The 25,198-nt window shown below is 46.6% G+C and overlaps 2 protein-coding genes across 15 annotated transcripts in view; one reads left to right on the forward strand and one right to left on the reverse strand.

Moving 5' to 3' along the window:
- The first annotated feature begins 292 nt into the window (after positions 1 to 292).
- Positions 293 to 23,224, forward strand: NPIPA3 (nuclear pore complex interacting protein family member A3). Of its 13 annotated transcripts, NM_001277323.2 has the most exons (12): positions 293 to 893; positions 2,597 to 2,690; positions 5,449 to 5,546; positions 5,788 to 5,945; positions 8,502 to 8,633; positions 12,950 to 13,078; positions 16,709 to 16,808; positions 16,972 to 17,116; positions 20,074 to 20,181; positions 21,200 to 21,260; positions 21,370 to 21,405; positions 22,765 to 23,220. In NM_001277323.2, exons 5-12 carry the CDS (start codon positions 8,571 to 8,573, stop codon positions 23,173 to 23,175), a joined length of 1,053 nt encoding a protein of 350 aa, NP_001264252.1. In that variant the 5' UTR covers positions 293 to 893; positions 2,597 to 2,690; positions 5,449 to 5,546; positions 5,788 to 5,945; positions 8,502 to 8,570; the 3' UTR covers positions 23,176 to 23,220. The 13 variants fall into 13 exon arrangements, with proteins under 13 accessions (NP_001264252.1, NP_001382416.1, XP_011520878.2 ...); NM_001395487.1 differs by lacking the exons at positions 2,597 to 2,690; positions 5,449 to 5,546; positions 8,502 to 8,633 and adding an exon at positions 5,547 to 5,625 and having other exon boundaries at positions 293 to 763; positions 22,765 to 23,224; XM_011522576.3 differs by lacking the exons at positions 293 to 893; positions 2,597 to 2,690; positions 5,449 to 5,546; positions 8,502 to 8,633 and adding exons at positions 5,547 to 5,625; positions 8,692 to 8,778 and having other exon boundaries at positions 22,765 to 23,224.
- The window catches only part of LOC100652777 (group 10 secretory phospholipase A2), a 33,438-nt gene continuing 14,179 nt past the window's right edge, over positions 5,940 to 25,198 (reverse strand). Inside the window, exons 4-5 of one of the 2 annotated variants that reach the window (XM_047435004.1) lie at positions 24,164 to 24,270; positions 5,940 to 6,525 (exon numbers count right to left, since the gene is read on the reverse strand). In XM_047435004.1, coding sequence (XP_047290960.1) covers positions 6,311 to 6,525; positions 24,164 to 24,270 — 322 coding nt within the window. In that variant the 3' untranslated portion in view covers positions 5,940 to 6,310. The remainder of the gene's footprint in view (positions 6,526 to 24,163; positions 24,271 to 25,198) is intronic. The other variant, XM_011522790.4, reaches the window with a different exon arrangement.

Raw genomic sequence — 25,198 nt, forward strand, 5'->3', positions numbered from 1 at the left:
CTGAGCTCTTGCATTTTTCTGGGGCACCGTCCTGCTCCTTCTCGTAACCCCGGGCAGTGGCCCTGGGCTCCTCGTCCGGCTGCTGCGGGCCTGGGCTGCCCGGGTCAGCGTAGCCAGGCCGACAGACAGCGCAGTTCACACCCCGGGGCGGCGGAGGCAGGTGCAGTGCGAGCGGCGACCCCTGTAGGCTGGTGTGGGCGCTGCCTGGAGGCTGCTGCGGTGCCGCCTGTAGGCTGGTGAGGGCGCCGCATGGAGGTTGCCGTGACGCTCGTTGGCGCCCAGCGCCCCGCCCAGGGCTTCCTGGCTGCAGTGGCTGCTGCCCCATCCCAGGGCCGCGGGGCCCGGGTTCCACTTGGCGGCGTCTTCTCTCGAGTCGCCTTCGCTGCTCCGAGAAGTCGGCGGCGCAGCAGTTGACGCTCAGCTCGCCGCAGGTCGCCATATTCCCCGCGGAGGCCGGCTGGGCTCTCGCCTCAGGCCGCCCACCCTGCTCCGGCCGCCGCGGCCTCTCCGTTCCCGCAGCCAGAGGTGGGGAGAGAGCGACCTCCAGGCACTGGGCACCCGCCGCTTCCCCAGCAGCCGGCGGGGCGATGGAGAAAGACGCCAGGAAGCGGAAGGTCCCCGCCGGCCCGAGGGTCGCCCGGGGCTGCGCCCCATGGTTCCTGCCCACGGAGCAGCTGCCGGGACCCTCCCTGCCAAGTTGCTCCCGGAAAAGCTCTCAGGTTCTCAGGCCTGCAGGGAGTGACAGTTTCCCCCTGACTGGAACGTAAGGCTGCAAACTCGAAGCCAGGCATTTTCTGCGTATTCTTAAATAGGATGTTTCAGTCAAAGCCTTGATAATATAACCAATCATTCTGATTACAGCCTGCTTATAAGGAGAACATGTGTACATCAAAGTAAGAATATTTATGAATAGTTTCCAAACTTTGGAAGGATCAAGTAGGAAGGAAAAACAAACGCTTCCACCCACCTTTGTTCACAAAAGTGTGCTTTACCAAATCGGTGTAAATTCTAGATAACTTCTGAGAAAAAATTTTCTTCAATCTAGAAAACAAAACAAGGGCCCGGCGCGGCGGCTCACGCCTGCAATCCCAGCACTTTGGGAGGCCCAGGCGGGGGGGTGATCACCTGAAATCAGCAGTTGGAGACCAGCCTGGCCAACATGGTGAAACCCGGTCTCCACTACAAATACAAAAACTAGCTGGGCGTGGTGGCGGGCGCCGGTAATCCCAGCTACTCGGGGGGCTGAGGCAGGAGAATGGCTTGAACTCAGGAGGCGGAGGTTGCACTGAGCAGAAATCCCGCCACTGCACTCCAGCCTGGGTGACAGAGTGAGACTCCGTCTCAAAAAAAAAAAAAAAGAATGAATCAAGAATCAACAAACAACAATGTTTTAAATACGAATTATAAAAACATTATCTTAATAGATTTTTTTGTTTTGCTTGATCTTGCTTAGCAGTTTTTTGAACCATTGTTTCCTTATTAGAAGCCACTAGAAATTGGTTTTTAGTTCATTGGTTTTTATTTTTTTTATTTCTGAGACAGAGTCTCAGTCTGTCGCCCAGGCTGGAGTGCAGTGGCACAATTTTGGTTCACTGCAACCTCTGCCTCCCAGGTTCAAGCGATTCTCATGCCTCAGCCTCCCGAGTAGCTGGGATTACAGACATGCACCACCATGCCTGGCTAATTTTTGTATTTTTAGTAAGATGGGCTGGCCAGGCTGGTCTGGAACTCCTAACCGCAAGTGATCCGCCTGCCTTGGCCTCCCAAAGTGCTGAGATTACAGGCGTGAGCCACTGCGCCTGGCCCATTGATTTTTAAAAAAATATTTAGTTTTAATGTATTGAGGGGGTATAAGTGCGAGTTTCTCACATGCCTATAGTGGTGAAGCCTGGGTAGTTCATTGATCTGGGTTATCAGAAAACCATGTTCAAGAGGATTTGTTAGAGTTTTCTCCATGCAAAGCAAATTTGGGGGCCGGGCGCGGTGGCTCCACGGCTGTAATCCCAGCGCTTTGGGAGGCTGAGGCGGGCGGATCACGAGGTCAGGAGTTGAAGACCAGCCGGGCCAATATGGTAAAACCCCGTCTGTACCACCACCAGTTAGCTGGGCGTGGTGGCGGGCGACTGTAGTCCCAGCTACTTGGGAGGCTGAGGCAGGAGAATCGCTTGAACCCAGGAGGCAGAGGTTGCAGAGAGCCAAGATGGCACCACTGTACTCCAGCTTAGGCGACAGAGCCAGACTGTGTCTCAAAAACAGGAAAGAAAACAAAAGAAAATTTGGACTACTGCCAATTACAAATATTTTTAGAGAAGAATTCAAAACTAACTGTGGATGATGAAAACAATAGTTATGATAAAAGTCTGATGAAACTTCCCAGTTCACAAGGAAATTTAATTACTTTTTTTTTTTTTTTTTTTGAGACGGAGTCTCACTGTGTCACCCAGGCTGGAGTGCAGTGACGTGATCTCCGCTCACTGCATGCTCCACCTCCTAGGGTCATGCCATTCTCCTGCCTCAGCCTCTCAGCCTCCCAAGTAGCTGGGACTACAGGTACCCGCCACCATGCCCGGCTAATTTTTTTTTTGTGTGTTTTTAGTAGAGACGAGGTTTCACCGTGTTAGCCAGGATGGTCTCGATTTCCTGACCTCGTGATCCACCCGCCTCGGCCTCCCAGAGTGCTGGGATTACAGGTGTGAGCCACTGTGCCCAGCCAATTACTTATCTTATGTGCAGCATTTTAAGACAGTGATCAGAATCATGACTGACAGCATTACATCAGGACCACCAGTGTTTTATAAATTTCATATCATCTTCAGAAATAATTAATAACTTTTTTTTTTTTTTTTAGATAGATTCCAGCTCTGTCGCCCAGGCTGGAGTGCAGTGGTGCAATCTCGGCTCACTGCAACCTCCGCCTCCTGGGTTCAAGCAATTCTCCTATCTCAGCCTCCCGAGTTGCTGAGATGACAGGCCTGTGCTACCAAGCCTGGCTAATTTTTGTATTTTTCATGGAGACAGTATTTTCGTGTAATTTTCACCCTATTGGTCAGGCTGGTCTTGAACTCCTGACCTCAGGTGATCCACCTGCCTTGGTCTCCCAAAGTGCTGGGATTATAGGCATGAGTGATGGTGCCCAGCCATTCATAACATGTTTATGCAAATATAACTTTAGCAAATATTTAGCATATATTTAGCATAATATTGCTAAAGCTAAACTTTAGCAAATATTTAGCATAACAATCAAAATTACAAATCATAACATATTAAATTTGTATAAATGTATGTAATTTTTGGAACACGTATATCAACAACATACCCATAAATATAACTGAGATGAGATCTAATGTCACCTCACTTGACAGTGCCCTCCCATGCAGTATCACCACATTTGACAATGCCCGCCCATATAATCTACCAAATAAATCGAATCACTTAATACCTCTACAAGATGAGAGATGCATTCTTTAGACTCCCGAAGGGATGCAGCTGAAAAATCCCAAAGTTAATTTTAAGCCAAAAAGACCTGATTTAGGATTTTGACACTGGAGAAACCCATCAAAGATGTCAAGTTTGTAAACACTTGATCAAAACAGAATCACAGGTCACTATTAAAAAGGGTATTCATTTAACCAGAGACTTCCAAAGCAATACAGAAACTTACATGGATATAAAAACCTTAACCCTTTTAAAGGTCAGATTTGCTAAGTGATCAAAAGGGGTACTTGAATTGAATCGACACAGGAAGAGTGTGTACAGGGTTACGAGTGTAGGCAAATGGTTACTTTGGTCATATCTCCATTTGCCACCTGATTACACATGAGAATGGCATCTTTACTCACCAGAAAGCCAGTATTATGGGAGGTGTAGGAGGCATTCTTGGACTTGAGACAAGAACATTGTTGTGTAGAAATTTCATTGACTGTGTTAAAATTATTCTCCATGGGCTGGAGAACACATAATGTGGTGTTTAGAATGAGACGGGCATTGATTGGATGCAAGGTCTCCACACTTACTAGCTGTGTGACATTGGACAAAGTGCTTCATCATTCTGAGACTCAGTTTTTAAAGGAAAAACAACTAACTACCTTGCAAGCTTGCTAGCAGGTTTAAGTGTAATAATGTGTGGGAATGACTGCACCGTGACTAACACGTAGTGACAGCTTAATTAATGTTAACCCTTATCATTATCATATAAGAATGTGAATTACATAAGGGAGGAATCCTGTCAGTTCGTTCTCTGCTGTGTCCCCAAGACCATGAATCATGGCTGGCACGTAGTAGGCATTTAATAATATTTGTTCAACAAGTATTTGGCAGTCTTGGAGGGCAGAAAAGGAGGTGGGGAAGATGTTTAAATAACATTTTTTAAAAAGTCACATTGTCCTACAATACCAATTTTTCTTGCATATTTAGGAAATTGAGGGTTTTTTCCTAAAACACGCGGACATATGGGAAATAGGATGCAACATTTGCACTAATGTTTCCGACACAGTTAGAGGTTTCCAAGAGATTTTGCGCTGGGGAGGCTGCTTGCTACAAGCTCCCAAAGCTCTGGGAGGACATAGTATTCATTCCTCCCTCAGCAGAAGCGGTGAGGCAAGAAGCTCTGGGGAGCATCCAGCCTTGGACTTTTAGCATAGTGTGTCAGGTCTTCATAGTTTGGGCCCAGGGCACAGAGAAGTCACAGCTCTCCGGCATCCTGTGACCTTTACCCTCTTTGCCAAGGGAAAATGTGGCCCTCCAAAGCAAGAAACTTGAGGTCATGGGTCACCCCAGCCCTGGCATCTGCCCAGAGCCCGAGAAGGAAGGAACAATGATCCTCCAGCTACCTCACAGGGCTGGCACAGGTGGCCACTGCCCTGGCATCACCCAGCTGTGTTCGGCAGCCTGAACCCCATCTGTGGGGATGTGAGGAGGAAAATACAAAAGTCATTAGGTGAACACTGAGAAGGCAGATGCAGCAGAAGCCTCCAGGCCAGAACTACCCAGTCTTGGACCTATGGTGGAGATAGAGCATAGCTGGCGATCATGTGTACTTACACTCTAAGGTCACCTGGTTGCCCTATGGCCTCATCTGTGGCTCTGAAAATGAAGATTTGGAAGGAGATCATCACAGCTAATGTTAACAAGCCCCTCCTGTGTGCCAAATCATTCACCCCTCACCACAACCAAATGAGCTAAGGATTCTCGTTATATATAGTTTATGGAGAGGGAAGTGCAGACATAAAGAGGTGAATTATCTTACCCAGATCACACAGCTGATAAGTGGTGGAGGCAGAATAGAATCTAAACAGTGTGGCTCCGGAGCCCACATGCATTGATTCGACAAGTGTTTATTGAGCACCTGCCGCGGACAAGGCCTTGTGTGATTAAATAGGGTTATAATTAGTAATATAAAAATGAGAAATCACTAATGCTTTTTAGACTTAACATTTTCTTTCTTTGTAGGTTTCAGGCACAGAACTGTATATCCAATAATAGTGAAATGGATCCCACTAATTATGACCGAAATGATGATACATTTAAATGACTTGGATGTTTTATAGGTATGATCTCGTGAAACCTTGAGAGAAACTGAATGACGAATGAAACTATTGTTCCTGTTTCACACAGAAGAAAACTGAGGTTAAAAGGGGTAAAGTAATTTTGCATGGCATGAAGTAGAAATTCAAAGTACAGGAATTTGAACTTGGTTCTGTCCTTTTCTGAAGCCCTTGACCACTATAGACTCAAACATCACCTTGTTTTTCCACTCATTCAACACTTTTTTTTTTAATTGTCTAATAGGTTGGCACTCATCATGAGCCCCTGTTCTCATTCTGCAAATGGTGAAGCTCTCTATTGTCCTGACCCCACGGTTCCTGTCCCATGACCAGGGCCAGCTCACCAAGGAGCTGCAGCAGCACGTAAAGTCAGTGACATGCCCATGCGAGTACCTGAGGAAGGTGAGTGAGTGCAGACAGATGGGGCCTGGTGCCCTTGAGCAGTTCCCGGGTCTCAGCTGCCACACATCTCATAGCGGGTGATGCTGGGGGAAGCTTACGCAGTCTCAGTACTGGCTTCTTCCTCTTTTTCTTTCCATACAAGTGGCTTAGGGATGGGGTAGAGTAGTTGACTTATTTGGATGAAAACCACTATCTTCTGTCAGAAACTCAAAAGGAATCATTGCTGGCATGGTAACCTAAAGAAAAACAACCAGACAAGTGCCCAACGACACTTTAAAAGGTTATTTATTATCTTGCCAAGTTTAGGCTGGGCATGGTGACTCATGCCTGTAATCCCAGCATTTTGGGAGGCTGAGGCTGGTGGATCACCAGAGGCCAGGACTTCGAGACCAGCCTGACCAATATGGCAAAACCTCGTCCCTATTAAAAATACAAAAATTAGCCGGGCATGGTGGTGTCAGCCTGTAGTCCCAGCTACTCAGGAGGCTGAGACAGGAGAATTGCTGAGATTCAGGAGGTGGAGGTTTTAGTGGGCCGAGATCACGCCATTGCACTCCAGACTGGGCGACAGAGCGAGACTCTGTCAAAAAAAAAAAAAAATTATCCTGCAAAATTTGAAAAGGAAATTCAAATCAACAGCTTCTAAACTACTTTTTAACATGACTCATAATAAGAAATACATTCTACAGTACATATATATGTTCTATAATTTTGAATAAAAGAATTAACCACATCATATTTATTTTACAACATGTAATACATATTTTTTATTCTCCTTCATTTGTTTTGAATGCTCTGTGCAGTCTACAAAAAGTCCAGTAGTAATAATTAAATTATTCATTAAGTTGAACATTATCTTGTCTTTTAAAATGATAATCTCAAAAATGATCTTTTATTTTTGAGATTTATATAGATACACACACACACACAGACAGACACACACACACACACATATATATATATATATATATTTTTTTTTTTTTTTTGAGACAGAGTTTCACTCTGTCCCCCAGGCTGGAGTGCAATGGCACAATCTTGGCTCACTGCAACCTCCGTCTCCCGGGTTCAAGCAATTCCTCTGCCTCAGCCTCTGAGTAGCTGGGACTACAGGTGTGCACCACCATGCCCAGCTAATTTTTGTATTCTTAGCAGAGATGGGGTTTCACCATATTGGCCAGGCTCGTGTCAACCCCTAACCTCGTGATCCGCCTGCCTCAGCCTCCCAAAGTGCTGGGATTACAGGCGTGAGCCACCATGCCCAGCCAAATCTAGGGCTGGAACATGGCTGCAGCATATAAAAAGAATTGAATTCCATACTTTTGTTAACCCTGTTTTTTGTTTGTTTGTAGTTGTTGCTGTTTTTGAGACAGAGTCTCGCTCTGTCACCTAGGCTGGAGTGCAGTGGTGCAATCTCGGCTCACTGCAGACTCTGCCTCCCGGGTTCAAACTATTCTCCTGCCTCAGCCTTCCAAGTAGGTGGGACTACAGGCGCCCACCACCACACCCAGCTAATTTTTGTATTTTATTAGAGACAGGGTTTCACCATATTGGCCAGGCTGGTCTGGAACTCCTGACCTTGTGATCCGCCCGCCTCAGCCTCCCAAAGTGCTGGGATTACAGGCGTGAGCCACCACCCCCAGCCCCTGTTTTGCTTGTTTCTTAGGGTTGTTTTTCTATTTATGGTAAAGGCATTGGCTTTCCATTTGTAGCATCAATAGAATATTTCCTGTTTACAATAACCTTATGTCATAGTAAATGGTAAAGGGATTTAAAGCAGTGGTTTTCAGCTGCCAGAGGCCTGAGTGAGTTTGGGCACACTCTGTGTGATCGGGCAGAAGGCCTGTGGGAAGTTTAGCTGAGGACAGGGCCAGGAAAGGTGATGGACAGTGGGGGTCTGTCCTGGTCACCAGGCCCCTGGGTCCTGCCCACCTGCTTGGAGCTCCCCACCCATCACACATGATGCGGCCAAGCCCTCTGGCTATTGTGGGCAAATACCTTAGGAGAGAAGCTGATGAACTTTGTTTCTTGAAATGCACAGATTCCTTGGACGTCCCTGAGAGCTCAGTCATGAAAGTCAGCTTGGTTTTCTCCCCCTCATTTGGGTTCAGAATTTAAAGTCCACACACACGGGCAGTAAGATGATATAGATAAGGACATCATCACTCGGTTTTGGATGTTAAAATGTCTAGGTGGGTTAGGGGTGATTTGAGATCACACAACGTTGTGCCACAAAGAGGAATTCCCCGGCCAGAGGGAGACATTTTATTGCCATGTTATGATCTCATCATTGAGTTGAAAGGCAATCTTGTTTCATTTTGGATTCTTTCTTATGTTTATGTCTTATAAGGGCACTTTGAATTTCCAAGCAAATAATAATTTTGAATTAGCTTTTAATCATTGACTTCTAGCACAGTTTTATGATCAGAAACATGCTGTGTGATTTGATTGCTCTCAAATATATTGAGATTTGCTGGAACAAAATAAGTCAGGTTAATTTTTGTAAATGTACCATGCATGCTTAAAATGAATGTATGTACATTTGTTCCTGAGATACAGGTTGATGGACGGATGGCTACATGGATGTGATGGAGATGGTTTACTATCGGGACCTTCCGCATCCTGCTGATGTTTTGTTGCTTAGGATATGAATGGCTGAGCGGAGGCTGTAAAACCTGGCACTCTGCTTGGGTATGAGGTTCTTCCTGCCATCCTGCCATCATTTGTTTTTTATGTTTTGTCGCCAAAAGTGACCTTGAGGAACCCTGGGAGCTCAGGAAGGAAGGAGCGCCCAGAAGCAGGGACAGGGAGCTGGTTGGGGAGGACCAGAAGTCAGGTTTGTGAAGGTTCCAGAGAGGACCTGGCCTTGGGAGGAGCGTGGGGGACTGAGATGGGGGAGGGGTCATTGGGATGATGCGGGCGCTACTTGGAATGTCCATTGTGAGGCACCACCGGGGTCATCAGGGATTGGTGGAGAGAGAGTCTAAAGCCCCAGGGTTGCTAAGGGAGGGCCCAGACCGAAGAAGGTTTGGTGGAAAGCAGAACCTTTGTCTCCCTCTAATTGCTCCTAAGCCTCACGCTCCCTTGCCCTGCCTGTCCTGTTGCTTCCCTGATCTTCTCCGTGACCTGTAGCTAAACCTTCCACCAGCGCTTGAGAACTTAATTTGAACCGGATCCTTTCCCAGACCCCTTTCTTCTTCTCCTCCTCCTCCTCCCCAACAGCCCCCTTCTCCTCCTTTCCCTTCCCTTACTTCCCCCCTTCCCCTCCCCTTCCCCTCCCCCTCCCCTCCCCCTCCCCAACTCAGATCCGGCCCCGGTCCCCGTCCCCTTCCCTCCCCCCTGCCCTAAGCCACCTCCACCTCTGTCCTGGCCGCCTCAGGGAGCCCTGAAAGGACCAGGACATGCGGGTGCGGTGGCTACTCTTTTGGCTCCTCTTTTGGCTCCTGCTGGGATTTATCAGCCATCAGTCCACCTGTGTGAGTAGATGGGTGCTGTGGCTGCTCTTTTGGCTCCTGCTGGGATTTATCAGCCATCAGTCCACCTGTGTGAGTAGACGCTGGACCCGCGGGGTTTCTTCCTTTTTACTGGGCTGTGTCACGCGGCATGAAATTACACAGCTCAGGCCTGTAATCCCAGCACTTTAGGGGGCCGAGGTGGGCAGATCACTTGAGTCCAGGAGTTGAAGACTAGCCAGGGCATCATAGCGAAACCCCATCTCTACAAAAAATTCCAAAAAAGATTAGTCGGGCCTGGTGGTGCGTACCTGTTATCCCAGTTACTGGAGAGGCTGAGGTGGGAGGATCGCTTGGGCCCAGGAGCTGGACGTTGCAGTGAGCCGAGATGGCCCCGCTGCACTCTTGTCTCCAACAGACAAAACGGACCAAAACAAAGTGAAATGTCATTTGATTTGTGTCATCTGGTTTGATGACTTTTTTTTGTTTGTTTGTTTTTTAGACAGAGTCTCACTCTGTCGCCCAGGCTGGAGTGCAGTGGCAAGATCTCGGCTCACTGCAACCTCCGCTTCCGGGGTTCAAGCAATTGTCCTGCCTCAGCCTCCTGAGTAGCTCAGATTACAACGCCTGGCTAATTTTTGTATTTTTAGTAGACACTGGGTTTCACCATGTTCGCCAGGATAGTCTCCATCTCTTGACCTCGTGATCCGCCTGCCTCGGCCTCCCAGTGCTGGGATTACAGGCGTGAGCCACCGCGCCTGGCCAAAATATATAACCTCAAGTGTAAGTTTACTAACTTTGGAAAGTACATACACCAGCATAAACCAACCCCCGTTCAAGATCTACATTATTTTATTTATTTATTTATTTATTTATTTGAGACAGTTTCTCCCTTGTTGCTGAGGCTGGAGTGCAATGGGGCAATATCAGCTCACCGCAACCTCTGCTTCCCAGGTTCGAGCGATTCTCCTGCCTCAGCCTCCCGAGTGGCTGGGATTACAGACATGTGCCACCACTCCCAGCTAATTTTGTATTTTTAGTAGAGATAGGGTTTCTCCATGTTGGTCAGGCTGGTTTTGAACTCCCGACCTCAGGTGATCCGCCCGCCTCGGCCTCCCAAAGTGTTGGGATTACAGGCGTGAACCACCGTGCCCAGCCAAGATCTACACTATTATGTCACCCCAGAAAGTGAACTCTCACTCTTCCCAGCCAGTCTCTTTCTTATCATAGGTTAGCTTGCTTATTCTGGAATTTCGCGTATACAGATGCATGCCATGCCATAGGTACTCTTTTGTGTCTGCTTTGTTCTGCTCAACACCATGTTTCTGAAATCATTACCATTGTTGTATGGTTCTCTAACTCCATCATTTCCATTTCAGACTCAGCATATGCTGAGTTCAACCTGTTGAAGGGCTATCTCTGTTTAATTCACCATCTTGAAAGAAACACTTAAAATTGAGATGTTTTCAAGAATATATAGTTAAATCCTGAGGAATTGATGTAGAAATGTTATCACAAGCTGTCTGAACTTACTCAGGGGAAGTCTTCGTCTTCACTCACATAAGAGTCTAATGGAATTAATATCAACAATCTTAGAGAAATCCCACACTATTCATGCCATTTTCATGATCTCCACCTTGGTAATTTTTTTTTTTTTTTTCAGACAGAGTCTCACTCTGTCACCCAGGCTGAAGTGCAGTGGTGCGATCTCGGCTCACTGCAACCTCTGCCTCACGGGTTCAAGTGATTCTTCTGCCTCAGCCTCCCAAGTAGCTGGAACTATAGGCGCGTGCCACCATGCCCTGCTAATTTTTTGTATTTTTAGTAGAGATGGGTTTCACCGTGTTAGCTAGGATGGTCTCAATCTCCTGATCTCACGGTCCACCCACCTTGGCTTCCCAAAGTGCTGGGATTGCAGGCGTAAGCCACCACGCCCGGCCCACCTTGTTAATTTTTAAGCACTAAAATTCGATACTTATTTGTGAATGAAGTAATCTCTTCATTGTATTTTTTTTTTTTTACTTATACTGAGCTTTAAATGACAAAGATTCATGTAATCCAAGAGAGAAGTATTATTTAGAGGGATTCTTTTACCATGTGATATGTAATAAATGCATCCAATGTTATACATCAATTTAAAAAACAAATAATTAAAGAAAAGATAACTACTGGCCAAGTGCAGTGGCTCACACCTGTATTCCCAGCACTTTGGGAGGCCGAGGCAGGTGGATCATGAGGTCAGGAGTTGGAGACCAGCCTGGCCAAGATGGTGAAACCCTGTTTCTACTAAAAAGACAAAAATTAGCCGAGCGTGGTGGCAGGCGCCTGTAATCCCAGTTACTCAGTAGCTGAGGCAGGAGAATCGCTTGAACCCGGGAGGCGGAGGTTGCAGTGAGCTGAGATCATGCCACTGCAATCTAGCCTGGGCGACAGAGCAAGACTTTGTCTCAAAACAAAAAGAAAAGAAAAGATAATTACTTTATACTTAGCTTGTCTTACCCATGAGTGACGGGCTGCATGTGGCCCAGGACAGTTTTGAATGCAGTTCAACACAAATTTGTAAACTTTCTTAAAACATTAGGAGATTTTGGCCAGGTACAGTGGCTCATGCCTGTAATCCCAGCACTTTGGGAGGCTGAGGCGGGCAGATTACCTGAGGTCAGGAGTTCGAGACCACCCTGGCCAACATGGCAAAACCCCATCTCCACAAAAAATACAAAAATTTGCTGAGTGCACTGTCAGGCACCTGTACTCCCAGCTACTCAGGAGGCTGAGGCAGGAGAATCACTTGAACCTGAGAGGCAGAGGTTGCAGTGAGCCGAGAGCACACCACTGCACTCCAGCCTGGGTGACAGAGTGAGACCCCATCTCAAAAACAAACAACAAACAAAAACAAAAAAAATGGCCGGGCACGGTGGCTCACACCTGTAATCCCAGCACTTTGGGAGGCCGAGGCAGGCAGATCTCCTGTCAGGAGTTCAAGGCCAGACTGGCCAACATGGTGAAACCTCATCTCTACTAAAAATACAAAAATTAGTCGGGCATGGTGGCAGAGACCGGTAATCTCAGCTGCTCGGGAGGCTGAGGCAGGAGAATGGCTTGAGCCCAGGAGCTGGAGGTTGCAGTGAGCCAAGATTGCACCACTGCACTCCAGCCTGGGCGACTGAGTGGAGCGGAACTCTGTCTCAAAAAAAAAAAAGAAAAAAAGTTTTTTTTTTTAGATCATCAGCTATTGTTAGTGTATGTTATGTGTGGCTCAAGACAACTTTGCTTCTTTTAATATAGGCAGGGAAGTCAAAAGATTGGATATCCCTGCTTTATACCAAGAATGACAACACCCCACATTTGCAATGCCTAAAAACACTACCAGCCATCTGAAAAACATGAGACTTCTCTAACTTCTGTTCTTTTTTGTAGCAGTGGAATCCCATGGTGATATCTGAGGGATGTGGTTACCTTTTGGAGGAGGTTGACGGTTTCTAAGGATGATTCTTTCTGAGTGAAATATTGTCAGTGTCATTGACCTTTTCATTATTTCAACTATTATTATTCCAGGTTATCAATACTCTGGCTGACCATCGTCATCGTGGGACTGACTTTGGTGGAAGTCCTTGGTTACTTATCATTACTGTGTTTCTGAGAAGTTATAAATTTGCCATCTCCCTCTGCACAAGTTACCTTTGTGTGAGTATACTAACTTTCTGTAGAGGTATACTTGTAATCACAAATAAGAGTAAATTATATGAAACAATTCACGTTTCTGGACTTCATTGTGAATATGTGGTTTTACCCAAAAAATCAGGGAAATGATTTATTAGCATAAGAATTATGAAAATATCTGCCATTTACATTATGAAAATTAAATAGGTCGGTGTTTAATAGAATGTCAACAGAGCTTTTGGTCAAAAATAAGTTTTTTTAACCTTTGTGCTATTTGTCACAAATGGAGTATGAGGTTTCGTCACTTAAATGGGAAAGTCTTTCTAAACTCTTCTGCTTTATAGTTCTATCGTATGGGTGGAAGGAAAGCTTCCAATCTCCTCTCTGAAGATTCACTGCAGAAATGAGCTGACAACAGACAGCTTAACAGGAAAAGAAAAACATAGAACAGACATAAACATGGGAACCAGCTGAAAAATGAGACTGCTAGAAGGGCTGGATGGTTGATGCTTAAAGAGCACCCTCTTCTGAGGGGAGAGGGAGATAGATGGAGATGTAGGCCATTTAGAGGGGCAGCAAATGATTTTTAGGGGAAATGAAAGAGCCCAAGGAACAAACAGTTGGCCTGAGACAAAGTTCCTCGGAGGTCATAGGGACGAGGTGACAAACTGCCGGAAGGTGAAGGGCAGAACTGCACTGCGTCTCATGATGCAGAGAAAGCCCCAGAGAATCTCTTAGAACTGCCCTCCAAGAGAATCAATGAAAAGTGTGTCTGGGCAGGGTAATTTTGAATGACATCATTCAAAGTGCATGTTCCCACTTGCAACTGGAGAGAGATCAGTATGTCAAAAGTCTGTACTTGGTAAGAATTTGGCTGCTAAGTTGTGCCATAATTTGTCTTTTGAGCCTTTTATCCTTTGGGTAAGTTGAGCTCTACATTTTGTCTTGCCATTCATGACAGTAAAAATGTGGTTGTCTGGGGGCTGAACCTCCTTCTGAACAATGATCCAAGATAAAAGTACTAATACCACAATGCTTTTTGATATTCAAGGGAAGAGGAAGTATGTTTCAGTTTTACCGCCTAGATAATTACACGTCATTTGGCACTGCCTTTCAAGATATGTAGAAAACAGAAAATATATGAGTTATGAAGATATCTAGGCACATTTAACATTCTCTATGCCACTTAGTCCTGAACAGAGAATTTTCGGTATAAATTGGAGGAAGCTTTTTTTTTTTCTTTTCTCACCCCCAAGACGAGTCTCCCTCTGTTGCCCAGGCTGGAGTATAATGGTGTGATCTCGGCTCACTGCAACCTCCACCTCCTGGCTTCAAGTGATTCCCCTGCCTCAGCCTCTCAAGTAGCTGGGATTACAGGTGCCCACCACCATGCCCAGCTAATTTGTGTATTTTTAGTAGAGTCGGGGTTTTACCATGTTGGCCAGGCTAGTCTCAAAACCCGACCTCAAATGATCCACCCGCCTCAGCCTCCCAAAGTGCTGGGATTACAAGCGTGAGCCACCACGTGAGCCAGGGGAAGTTTTTAAATTTACCACTTTTTAACAATTCCATTAGGAAAGTTCAGTTGAGCTATTGGACTTGGACAACTTTGCACCTCTCATCTTTGTCCTTGTCATCTAGTCATCTATACCATTACCTCCTAAGCAGGGACATCATGGGTGCCATGAAGCATTCATGTGTGATGGCATTTCTTTGCTTCTCATTTCTTCATGTGTTTGACATTTCTCCTAGCTCCAAACTGGGCCAGCTACCTTTCCTATGAAATCTAGCAGTAGCTGTGGGATAGACGTGGTTTCTCTTTTCATCTTTTTAGATTACCCATTGCTTCTCTCGAAATCCTAGTACATGATTTTTTTTTCATCCTATGTGCAGAAATCAGGAAAAAACAAATTCTACAAAGAATTTGAAAGATATTATTTCAGGCCAGGTGTGGTGGCTCATGCCTGTAATCCCAGCACTTTGGGAGGCTGAGGCAGGTGGATCACTTGAGGTCAGGAGTTCAAGACCAGATGGGCCAACATAGTGAAACCCCATCTCTACTAAAAAGACAAAAATTAGCCAGGCATGGTAGCAGGCACCTGTAATCCCAGCTACTTGGGAGGCCGAGGCACAAGAATCGCTTGAATCTGGGAGGTGGAGGTTGCCGTGAGCCAAGGTAGCGCCACTGCACTTCAGCATGGTTGAGTGACACTCCGTCTCAAGAAAAAAGTCATTTCAATGACTACCTCAGGAGATTCATAGGTATCTGACCCACATCTGAGATGGGATTTGCATTGCATTTTAGCTATGATGAGAACAAATATTTAATATCTTAGAAGATTAAAAGCATACTGTGATAATATGGAAATCTTGGCGGGAATTCAGTCATTAGTGAGAATGTTTTGCGTTAAGTTCAAACCAGCCTCAACGAAGCTGATGTGAGGGAAGGGAAAGTGAACTCTGAGTAGAGCAGGGACAGAAGAAAGATGCTCCAGTGCAGATCAGGAAGGAGCAGGGGGTGAAATGTTACAAATTCTAGAACTCAGAGAGCTGAAGGTAATTAATTACTTCCTTTTCAAGTTGTGAAACATGTTAACCTGTGGTAAAATACTTACAAGATGATAATTACCATCTAACCGTGTTGAAGTGTACAGTTCAGTTGTGTGAAGTATATTCATGTCATTTTTTTTTTTTTTTTTTTTTTTGAGACGGAGTCTCACTCTGTCACCAGGCTGGAGTGCAGTGGTGGGATCTTGGCTCACTGCACCCTCTGCCTCCTGGGTTCAAGCAGTTCTCCTGCCTCAGCCTCCCGAGTAGCTGGGACTACAGGCGTGCGCCACCATGCTCAGCTAATTTTTGTATTTTTAGTAGAGACGGGGTTTCACCATGTTGCCCAGGATGGTCTCCATCTCTTGACCTTGTGATTCACCCGCCTCGGCCTCCCAAAGTGCTGGGATTACAGGCGTGAGCTACCGCACCTGGCCTATTTTTTTTTTTTTTTTTTTGAGACAGAGTTTCAATTTTGTTGCCCAGGTTGGAGTGCAATGGCACAATCTCAGCTCACCACAATCTTTTCCTGCTGGGTTCAAGTGATTCTCCTGCCCCAGCCTCCTGACTAGCTGGGATTACAGGCATGCACCACCATGCCTGGCTAATTTTGTATTTTTAGCAGAGACAGCGTTTCTCCATGTTGGTGAGGCTGGTCTCAAACTCCCGACCTCAGGTGATCCGCCTGCCTCGGCCTCCCAAAGTGCTGGGATTACAGGAGTGAGCCACCGTGCCAGCCTCATGTCATTCTTTGTGTGTGTGTGTGTGTGTGTGTGTGTGTGTGTGTGTGTGTGTGTGTGTGTGACAGAGTCTCATTCTGTCGCTCAGGCTGGAGTGCAGTGGTGTGATCTCGGCTCACTGCAAACTCTGCCTCCCAGCTTCAAATGGTTCTCTGCCTCAGCCTCCCGAGTAGCTCGGATTACAGGCGCCCACTGCCATGCCCGGCTAATTTTTGTATTTTTAGTAGAGACGGGGTTTCACCATCTTGGCCAGGCTGGTCTTGAACTCCTGACCCCGTGATCCACCCTGCCTCGGCCTCCCAAAGTACTGGGATTATACGCATGAGCCACCGTGCCCAGCCGTCATTCTTATATTATTATTTCCTAGGTGTCTTTCCTGAAGACTATCTTCCCGTCTCAAAATGGACATGATGGATCCACGGATGTACAGCAGAGAGCCAGGAGGTCCAACCGCCGTAGACAGGAAGGTATGGCTCTGTTGGAGTCCCCATAGTGTGGAAATGAGTTTGCCCTGGAAAGGGAAAGAACAGCTTCTTGCCCTCAGGTTTCTCACCTTCTCCTCTCCTCACTCTCACCAAGGGCTGAGGTCCGTTTGTATGCACACAAAGAAAAGAGTTTCTTCCTTTCCAGGAATTAAAATTGTCCTGGAAGACATCTTTACTTTATGGAGACAGGTGGAAACCAAAGTTCGAGCTAAAATCTGTAAGATGAAGGTGACAACAAAAGTCAACCGTCATGACAAAATCAATGGAAAGAGGAAGACCGCCAAAGAACAGTAAGATGTGCCTTGACACAAATACTGTTGTATGAACCATGTGCCAATCAAAGTAGACAACTGTAAAGTCCTTGAGAATATTTTCTACAATATTTGTGGCAAATTCAGTGGGTTCAAAATTGAGTTTGTCCTTTCTGCTTCATTAGTTTAAGCTGTATAATTCCTTTCCCTTCCTACATTCTTGTTTGTCATTTTTTCAGGGGAAGAGGAGTTGCTAGTACTGGCATTGGTTTTCCTTTCTCTCTCTTTTTTTTTTTTTTTTTTTTCCTGAGATGGGGCTTTGCTCTTGTTGCCCAGGCTGTAGTGCAATGGCACAATCTCAGCTCACTGCCTTTTGGGTTCAAGCAATTCTCCTGCCTCAGCCTCCCAAGTAGCTGGGATTACAGGTGCCCACCACCACGCCCAGCTAATTTTTGTATTTTTACTAGAGATGGGGTTTCACCATGTTGTCCAGGCTGGTCTCGAACTTCTGACCTCAGGTAATCCACCCGCCTCAGCCTCCCAAAGTGCTGGGATTAGAGGCGTGAGCCACCACACCCAGCCTTTTTTTTTTTTTTTTAAATTTTGAGATAGAGTCTCGCTCTGTCGCCCAGGCTGGAGTGCTGTGGTGCAATCTTGGCTCACTGCAACCTCTGCCTCCCAGTTTGAAGCAATTCTGCCTCAGCTTCCCGAGTAGCTTGGATTACAGGAGTGTGCCACCACATTTGGCCAATTTTTTTTTTTTTTTTTTTTTTTTTTTGAGACAGAGTCTCACTCTGTCACCCAGGCTAGAGTGCAGTGGCAAGATCTTGGCTCACTGCAACTTCCGCCTCCCAGGTTCAAACGATTCTTATCCCTCAGCCTCTTGAGTAGCTGGGACTACAGGCATATGCCACCATGCCCGGATAATTTTTGTGTTTTTAGTAGAGGCGGGGTTTCACCATATTGGCCAAGCTGGTCTAGAACTCCTGACATCATGATCCGCACACCTCGGCCTCCCAATGTGCTGGGATTACAGGCGTGAGCCACCGTGCCCAGCCCAATTTTTGTATTTTTAGTAGAGACGGGTTCACCATGTTGGCCAGGCTAGTCTTGAACTCCTGACCTCAGGTGATCTGCCTACCTCAGCCTCCCGGTGTGAGCCACCGCACCCAGCCTGGATTGTTGAATTCAATGCTCGGGTCACCTCCAGATTCATTTTCACAGTCTTTCATGTTTTGGTCATATTACATTGTATTTTGCTGCCATATGACTGATCTTTTTTTGTTAAATGTGAGATACTTGTTAAAAAATATTTAGCAATGAATTGAGGCCTAGTAGCATGTTATCTTGCTGCAGAAGAGATGGGAGTCTACTTCTGGGGGATGGTCAGGGGTCCTCCATACAGGCTGCAATTGAGGTCGTCAGTGCAGGCTCAGTCCCTACAAAGGCCAGGGTATTTCCTGTCCACCTCTATTCTGATGCATGACTCTTCTGGGTCTCAACCAGAGCCAGTGGACTTCAGTATGGGTCGCTTTCATTGGCAGACCCTCAATCCACTTGTTTTCCATCTAACCCCACACATGTGTGCAAAAGCTGCTGTGCTTCTTTGCATCTCAGTAGTTCCTTCTGGAATTCAGCAATGAAACTCAGGGAAATGGGTTCCAAATGCGAGGCTGACTTTCGTCCTGGGTTTCCTTCTTCTCCATCTTCACCTCATGTCTGTTTACTGCCATGTGAGCAATTTGATGTATTCAGTCATGGGTTTTATATTCTGTTTGGTGTCCCCCATTGTTCTCATCGGAGATCAGAAGCTTCAGATGCACTTATGTCAACTCAAGAGTAGAATGCTTCCTTAGCTTCCCTCCAGAGTCAGGTTTTGTGTTTCTAGTTCCCAAGTGCACAGCAGGAGTAGTGCTGTCCTCACTGGCTTCTCATTTGCATTAAACTGTGAGCTTCTTTAGCGTGGGGACAGGACCCTGCTCCCATTGCATTGTCAGCACCTCACCACACACACCTTGTTTGAGGCCACTCCAGACAGCATGTGCTGAAGGATGCCCTGTGGTCAGAAACAAGTTCATTAACTTTCTCTTTGAAGTGTTTTCGTCTCTGTTTCCTAGCATTCTGGGAATTTTACACATCCTTCCTATAAAACCAAGTATCAGGTGAGATCCTTAGGATCAGGACCATGAATCAAGTGGTGTGAGGGCAACACAGCAAACTTACCCTTTTGAGGCCGTTTCCTTTTTCTGCCCTCAATCTCTGTGAACTGAACCTTGTTAAAGTCAGTCAACACCAGGGTGGATGGTTTGCAGTTGTCACCTATTTTCAGGACATAACACCCTGACTTAGGAGCCATTCCGATCATTTCTAATTCAATAGATGCGCCCAGCATTCAGATTGCCTTTTCAGGATCTTTAAAGTCGATGACAAGAGTTCCAGTCCTGAATCATGGCAAAGTGCAGTAGTGAACTGCGGGGTTAATGACACCATATTCTGGAAGGATCTCTCTATGGCTGATGGTCTCAGTTCCGGCATCAGCCTCTGACTGAGAATCAGGTCTCACACAGGAGGAGTCAGATGAGGAGCAATCCTCTGCCTCCGATGGAGTTAGTTGTGATGAATTGGTGAGGTCTGGTTTTTCACACTGAACTAAAATGAGCTTTCGCTGTGTCAAGCACAAGACTGACCCCAGAGACACACATAGTGCACCTCATAGAAGCTTTTAATAGTCTTTATATTTACTAAAGAATAGGACTAACTATGGAACTATGAAGATGAGCTGGAAATGACAGGTGACTTGCCAGCAGGCCAGAGTGTGATTTTTTTTTTGTCCCTCAATGGGAGGTGTCCATTCTCCCTTTGCTTGTGAGAATCAGTTGGTTCATTTGTGGGAAGGTTGCAGGGGGGATCTTTGAATCAGCCTTCAGATGCCAGAAGGGCAGAGGGAATCCCACACGGGCTGGTGGATCATGTGTGTGCATTTCTCTCCCTTCTAGTCTGAGGAAACTAAGCATGAAAGAACGTGAGCACGGAGAAAAGGAGAGGCAGGTGTCAGAGGCAGAGGAAAACGGGAAATTGGATATGAAAGAAATACACACCTACATGTGAGTTCAGAAACTGAACCCCACCCTCTTGGGAAACGCCCATTGGAGTGTTGTTTTTAACCTTTGTACAATGTTTAGACCCAGTAAATGCAGAAATAGAAACAAATGGTCAGAAGACATATCGTGAGAGAGAGAGAGAGTTCACAAAACAGAAAACAAAGTACCTTAATATTTACCAGTGACCAAAAGATGTGAAGTAGCAAAACGGCTCCTGACCCCATTGCCAGCTAGACTGTGTGGAAACTCGGTTCATACCAGCCATTCTAGGGGTGGGGTGAGTTGTTGTCATCCTTAGGAAAGTGTGTTGTTGTAGGATCAACCACATCCTTCAAAAGGACTATGCCTGTTTATAAGCCCAGCTGTTTCTGCCCTGTGAAACACGGTAAAGATATTAATACAAAGAGAATACAGCTTTATGATAAAAGATGCTCAATGAAGGATGAATTAGGGATATACTGAGAATGGGGAAGGAAGCTATCATCTCAGAAGTCAGCAGGCAGTAAGCAAGAGGAGGAATCAATACAGCAACAGTTTGGATCAGACTGTACAGTTTTTTTTGTTTTTGTTTTTGTTTTTGTTTTTCTGAGATGGAGTCTCGCTGTGTCACCCAGGCTGGAGTGCAATGACGTGATCTTGGCTCATTGCAACCTCTGCCTCCCAGGTTCAAGTGATTCCCCTGCCTCAGCCTCCTGAGTAGCTGGGATTACAGGTGCCTGCCACCACCCCCGCCTAATTTTTTGTATTTTTAGTAGAGATGGGGTTTCACCGTATTAGCCAGGATGGTCTCAATCTCCTGACCTCGTGATCCATCCGCCTCGCCCTCCCAGAGTGCTGGGATTACAGGCGTCAGCCACCGTGACCGGCTCAGACTGTACTCTTACAGCCATCTGAAATACGTTTTCTAGGTAGAGATAGATTGTGTAAGGGTACAGTTGTGAGGATAACAGAAACATGGCAGATTATTTAAAATCATCCTGAAAGTGGTGCTTTATCTGATGAAAGTGATTGTAATCCATAGGGAAATGTTTCAACGTGCGCAAGCGTTGCGGCGGCGGGCAGAGGACTACTACAGATGCAAAGTAAGGAGCTTCCTCCCCGCAGTTGCAGGATAGTTCAGTGCTGATGCAGATGATGCCACGGCCCTTAGACTCTCTCAACATTCAATTTCTCATGTGTTGGCTTTTTCAGATCACCCCTTCTGCAAGAAAGCCTCTTTGCAACCGGGTAAGTTTGCTTGTTTTCCTTGCTTTTGGACATAGTCTGCCAGGTCAGGACATGGATACATTTTTCTCCCTACGGCTCTGTGCTCAAGCCCTGCAGAGGGAGATGGCAGAGAGGAAGGCTGCCTACAAGCATCACAGTCCCATCCCTGTTGGTAACCGTGTTGCGCAAAAACACCTTCATCCCCACCCAGTGGGGCCCCCATCTAATATTCTAAGTGTCAGAGGTTCCGTATTTGTAATAGCAAATGGGCCCTGACTGTAAATTAGTGAAGAGTGAATGTAACTTATTACCCACAGGGACAATTCCAAATGAAGGCCTTAAATGATGCTCAGCTAAGCTGGTTCTTGTGTGGCCTCTGTACCTTCAAAAGCTGCCGAGTCCTATGATTACACGCGATGGGACTTGTACACTTGAAGTGAAACACAGTTTTAAAACTTGCTTTGTTTAGAATTCCCACCTCATTTTTCCATGGACAAAAGTATTCTTTAGGTCCTAGTGCACTTACAATTTGGTATTACCTGGGAGTGAAAAGAAATATTACAGCCATGCCTAACTGACTTCTTGAGGTAAGATTGTTCTGTCAGAAAACCCTCTCCCAGTTCCCCTGCAGCTCTTCAGGAATCCACATCTCTCCAGAGCTCTTTGTTCTCATGGGTGGCACCTCCAGAGTGAAGAAGATCCTTTGTCAAGAAGGGAAACAGAGGGGAAATGAGAGGGTCCTGCAGGCAGAGCTGGAATCAACTTCCACTCTGCCTCTTGCAAGCTGTGTGACCCTGGGCACAATTTCTCCTTCCTCTGGAAACCTCTGTTTTCTTAGATTTGGAGCAGGGTGGTCACACTGACCTTGCAGAGTTCTGAGAATCAGAGACAGAACATAAAAGGCCTGGAAAACATTCTCCAAAAAGAAGCTGCAACATGTGTGGACAATGGGCTTTTCATGCCTCTCTTACTGTCTCTTACTGTCTATTGACCTGGTGCAAGAAACATGCTCTGGTGATGGCTGTGAGGGAGGAATGAGGATAGACATAGACACTCCTGTGTCTCAAACATGCTTCTTTATTACTCTGTTATGACTCTGTCTTCCCTGGGGCAGGACCCCAGCCTGCCTACATTTGCAGACAGACACAGTGGCATGTGGAGACAACAGTGTGTCCCAATGACTTTTCTTTACCCCCCAGCTGTCGGCAGTACTCAGTGGAAGGGTGATATTATGACACTGACACTGCTATTTTGAAACCTGGAGAATGGAAAGGTGCAAAAATCTATCACCAGCAACAGAAGGTGCAGACTGTGTTGGTGGCGGTAATTTTGTCCATCAAATGAATATGTGTGAAAACATTCCCTCCTTTGGCCCTACAGGTCAGAATGGCGGCAGCGGAGCATCGTCATTCTTCAGGATTGCCCTACTGGCCCTACCTCACAGCTGAAACTTTAAAAAACAGGATGGGCCACCAGCCACCTCCTCCAACTCAACAACATTCTATAATTGATAACTCCCTGAGCCTCAAGACACCTCCCGAGTGTCTGCTCACTCCCCTTCCACCCTCAGCTCTACCCTCAGCGGATGATAATCTCAAGACACCTGCGGAGTGTCTGCTCTATCCCCTTCCACCCTCAGCGGATGATAATCTCAAGACACCTCCCGAGTGTCTGCTCACTCCCCTTCCACCCTCAGCTCCACCCTCAGTGGATGATAATCTCAAGACACCTCCCAAGTGTGTCTGCTCACTCCCCTTCCACCCTCAGCGGATGATAATCTCAAGAAACTAAGGAAGAATAAATAAATAATATAAAAATAAAATGAATACTGCAGTCCTTATGTTATTGCTTTGTTTCAATATCTGGTATGATTGCCTGAGGGACCTGAGGTTTTTAATCATAGGGGTTTTTTTAATCTTTAGAAGTGGTTGGTTATGTAAAATATTATTATTTGTTTTTTTTTTGAGACTGGAGTTTGCTCTGTCACCCAGGCTGGAGTGCAGTGGCTCGATCACAGCTCACTGCAGCCTCAACCTCCTGGGCTTCAAGCAATCCTCCTGCCCCAGCCTCCCAAGTAGCTGGGATCACAGATGTGTGCCACCACGCCTGGCCAATGTTAAAAAATCCTTTAACTTTTTTGTAGAGATGCACTCCTGGACTCAAGCAATCCTCCTACTTGTCCCGACCACCAGCCTCTTTCTGATAAACATTTACACTGTTTATTATCTGATGCCATTTCTATCTTCTTCCTTGTCATCCAGACATCAAAGAATTAGGTTTCTTCAGGGTTTTCTTTTTCAAGTGCTCAGTGTTAAAGATCACTCACATTAGGGCCAGACACCACGGCTCATGCCTGTAATCCCAGCACTTTGGGAGGCCGAGGCGGGCAGAGCACTTGAGGTGGGGAGTTTGAGACCAGCCCGGCCAACTTGGTGAAACCCCACCTCTACTGAAAAAATACAAAAATTAGCTGGGCGTGATGGTGCATGCCTGTAGTCCCAGCCACTTGGGAGGCTGAGGCATGAGAATCGCTTGAACCCAGGAGGCAGAGGTTGTAGTGAGCTGAGATCACATCAGCACACTCTAGCCTGGGTGACAGAGCGAGACTGACTCAAAAAATAAATAAAATAAATATCACTTACATTAGATACACCCAAGGGGTGGTCTATAGAGACTTGGAAGCAGTGGTTATTGCAACAGGGGCACGGAAGTCATCTGGCTATGCCAGGATGCCCAGGGGATACTCGGGGTGGGTGGCATGGTGCTGCTGGGGACTCACCGCACAGGACGCTCTGATTGACGCACTGCCAGGAGTAGCGCTCTGTCTTGGGGCTGCAGCCGGCCTCCTCAGCTCGAGTGTAACAACAGTCGTGGCCATGGCAGCACCTGCGGATGTCACATGGGCAGGACAGCAGGTGGGTGAAGCTCTCTCCTGGCCCTCCTCTCTTGCCAGGACTATGGGTGACTGAAGACCCCCAGGGAGGCACAGCATCCTCTTATCTAAGATTTTTTTTTTTTTAAGAGACAGGGTCTTTCTCTGTCGCCCAGGCTGGACTGCAGTGGCACAATCATAGCTCACGGCAGCCTTGAACTCCTGGGCTCAAGTGATCCTCCCACTTCAGTGTCCCAAGTAGCTGAGACTACAGGCACACGCCAGCATGCCCGGCTGGTTTTTTAATTTGTATTTCCTTTGAGACAGCGTATCTCTCTGTTGCTCAGGCTGGAGTGCAATGGCTCAATCAGCTCACTTTAGCCTTGAACTCCCAGGCTCAAGTGATACTGCCACCTCAACCTCTCAAGTCTGCTACTACAGGAAGACAAACTCCTTTTTTAAATTTTTTGTGGATATGGGGTCTCACTATGTTGCCTAGGCTGGTCTCGAGCTCCCAGGCTCAAGCAGTCCTCCTACCTCAGCCTCCACAAATGCTGGGATTACAGGTGGGAGCTACTGTACACCTGGCCTTATCTAAGCTGTTTCCCTGAAAATCCCCGTCTTGGGTAATGATTCCATTGGCCCCACCATGCCCTGTCCTGCCTTCCTGGCTGTGCCCAAGCTTGGTCCCTGCCTGCCTGCCTGCCTCCCTCTCTGGGTCTCGAGCTCCTGTGACACATGACTCCTCTCTCTTCCTGGAGTGATCCAAGCCCTGCCACTTCCTGACTTTGCCCACACTGTACCCTCTGCCTGGGGCAACTTCATGTCTGCCCATTGACCCTTAGGCCTCAGCCCAGGCACAAGCCCCTGCCTCTGGAGGTCATCCAGGCCTCACCAGGCTACACCCTCTCATAAAATCGGATTCCCTCCCTTCAGGGTAGG

The sequence above is a fragment of the Homo sapiens genome, chromosome 16 (assembly GCF_000001405.40).
Source record: "Homo sapiens chromosome 16, GRCh38.p14 Primary Assembly".
NCBI lineage: Eukaryota > Metazoa > Chordata > Mammalia > Primates > Hominidae > Homo > Homo sapiens.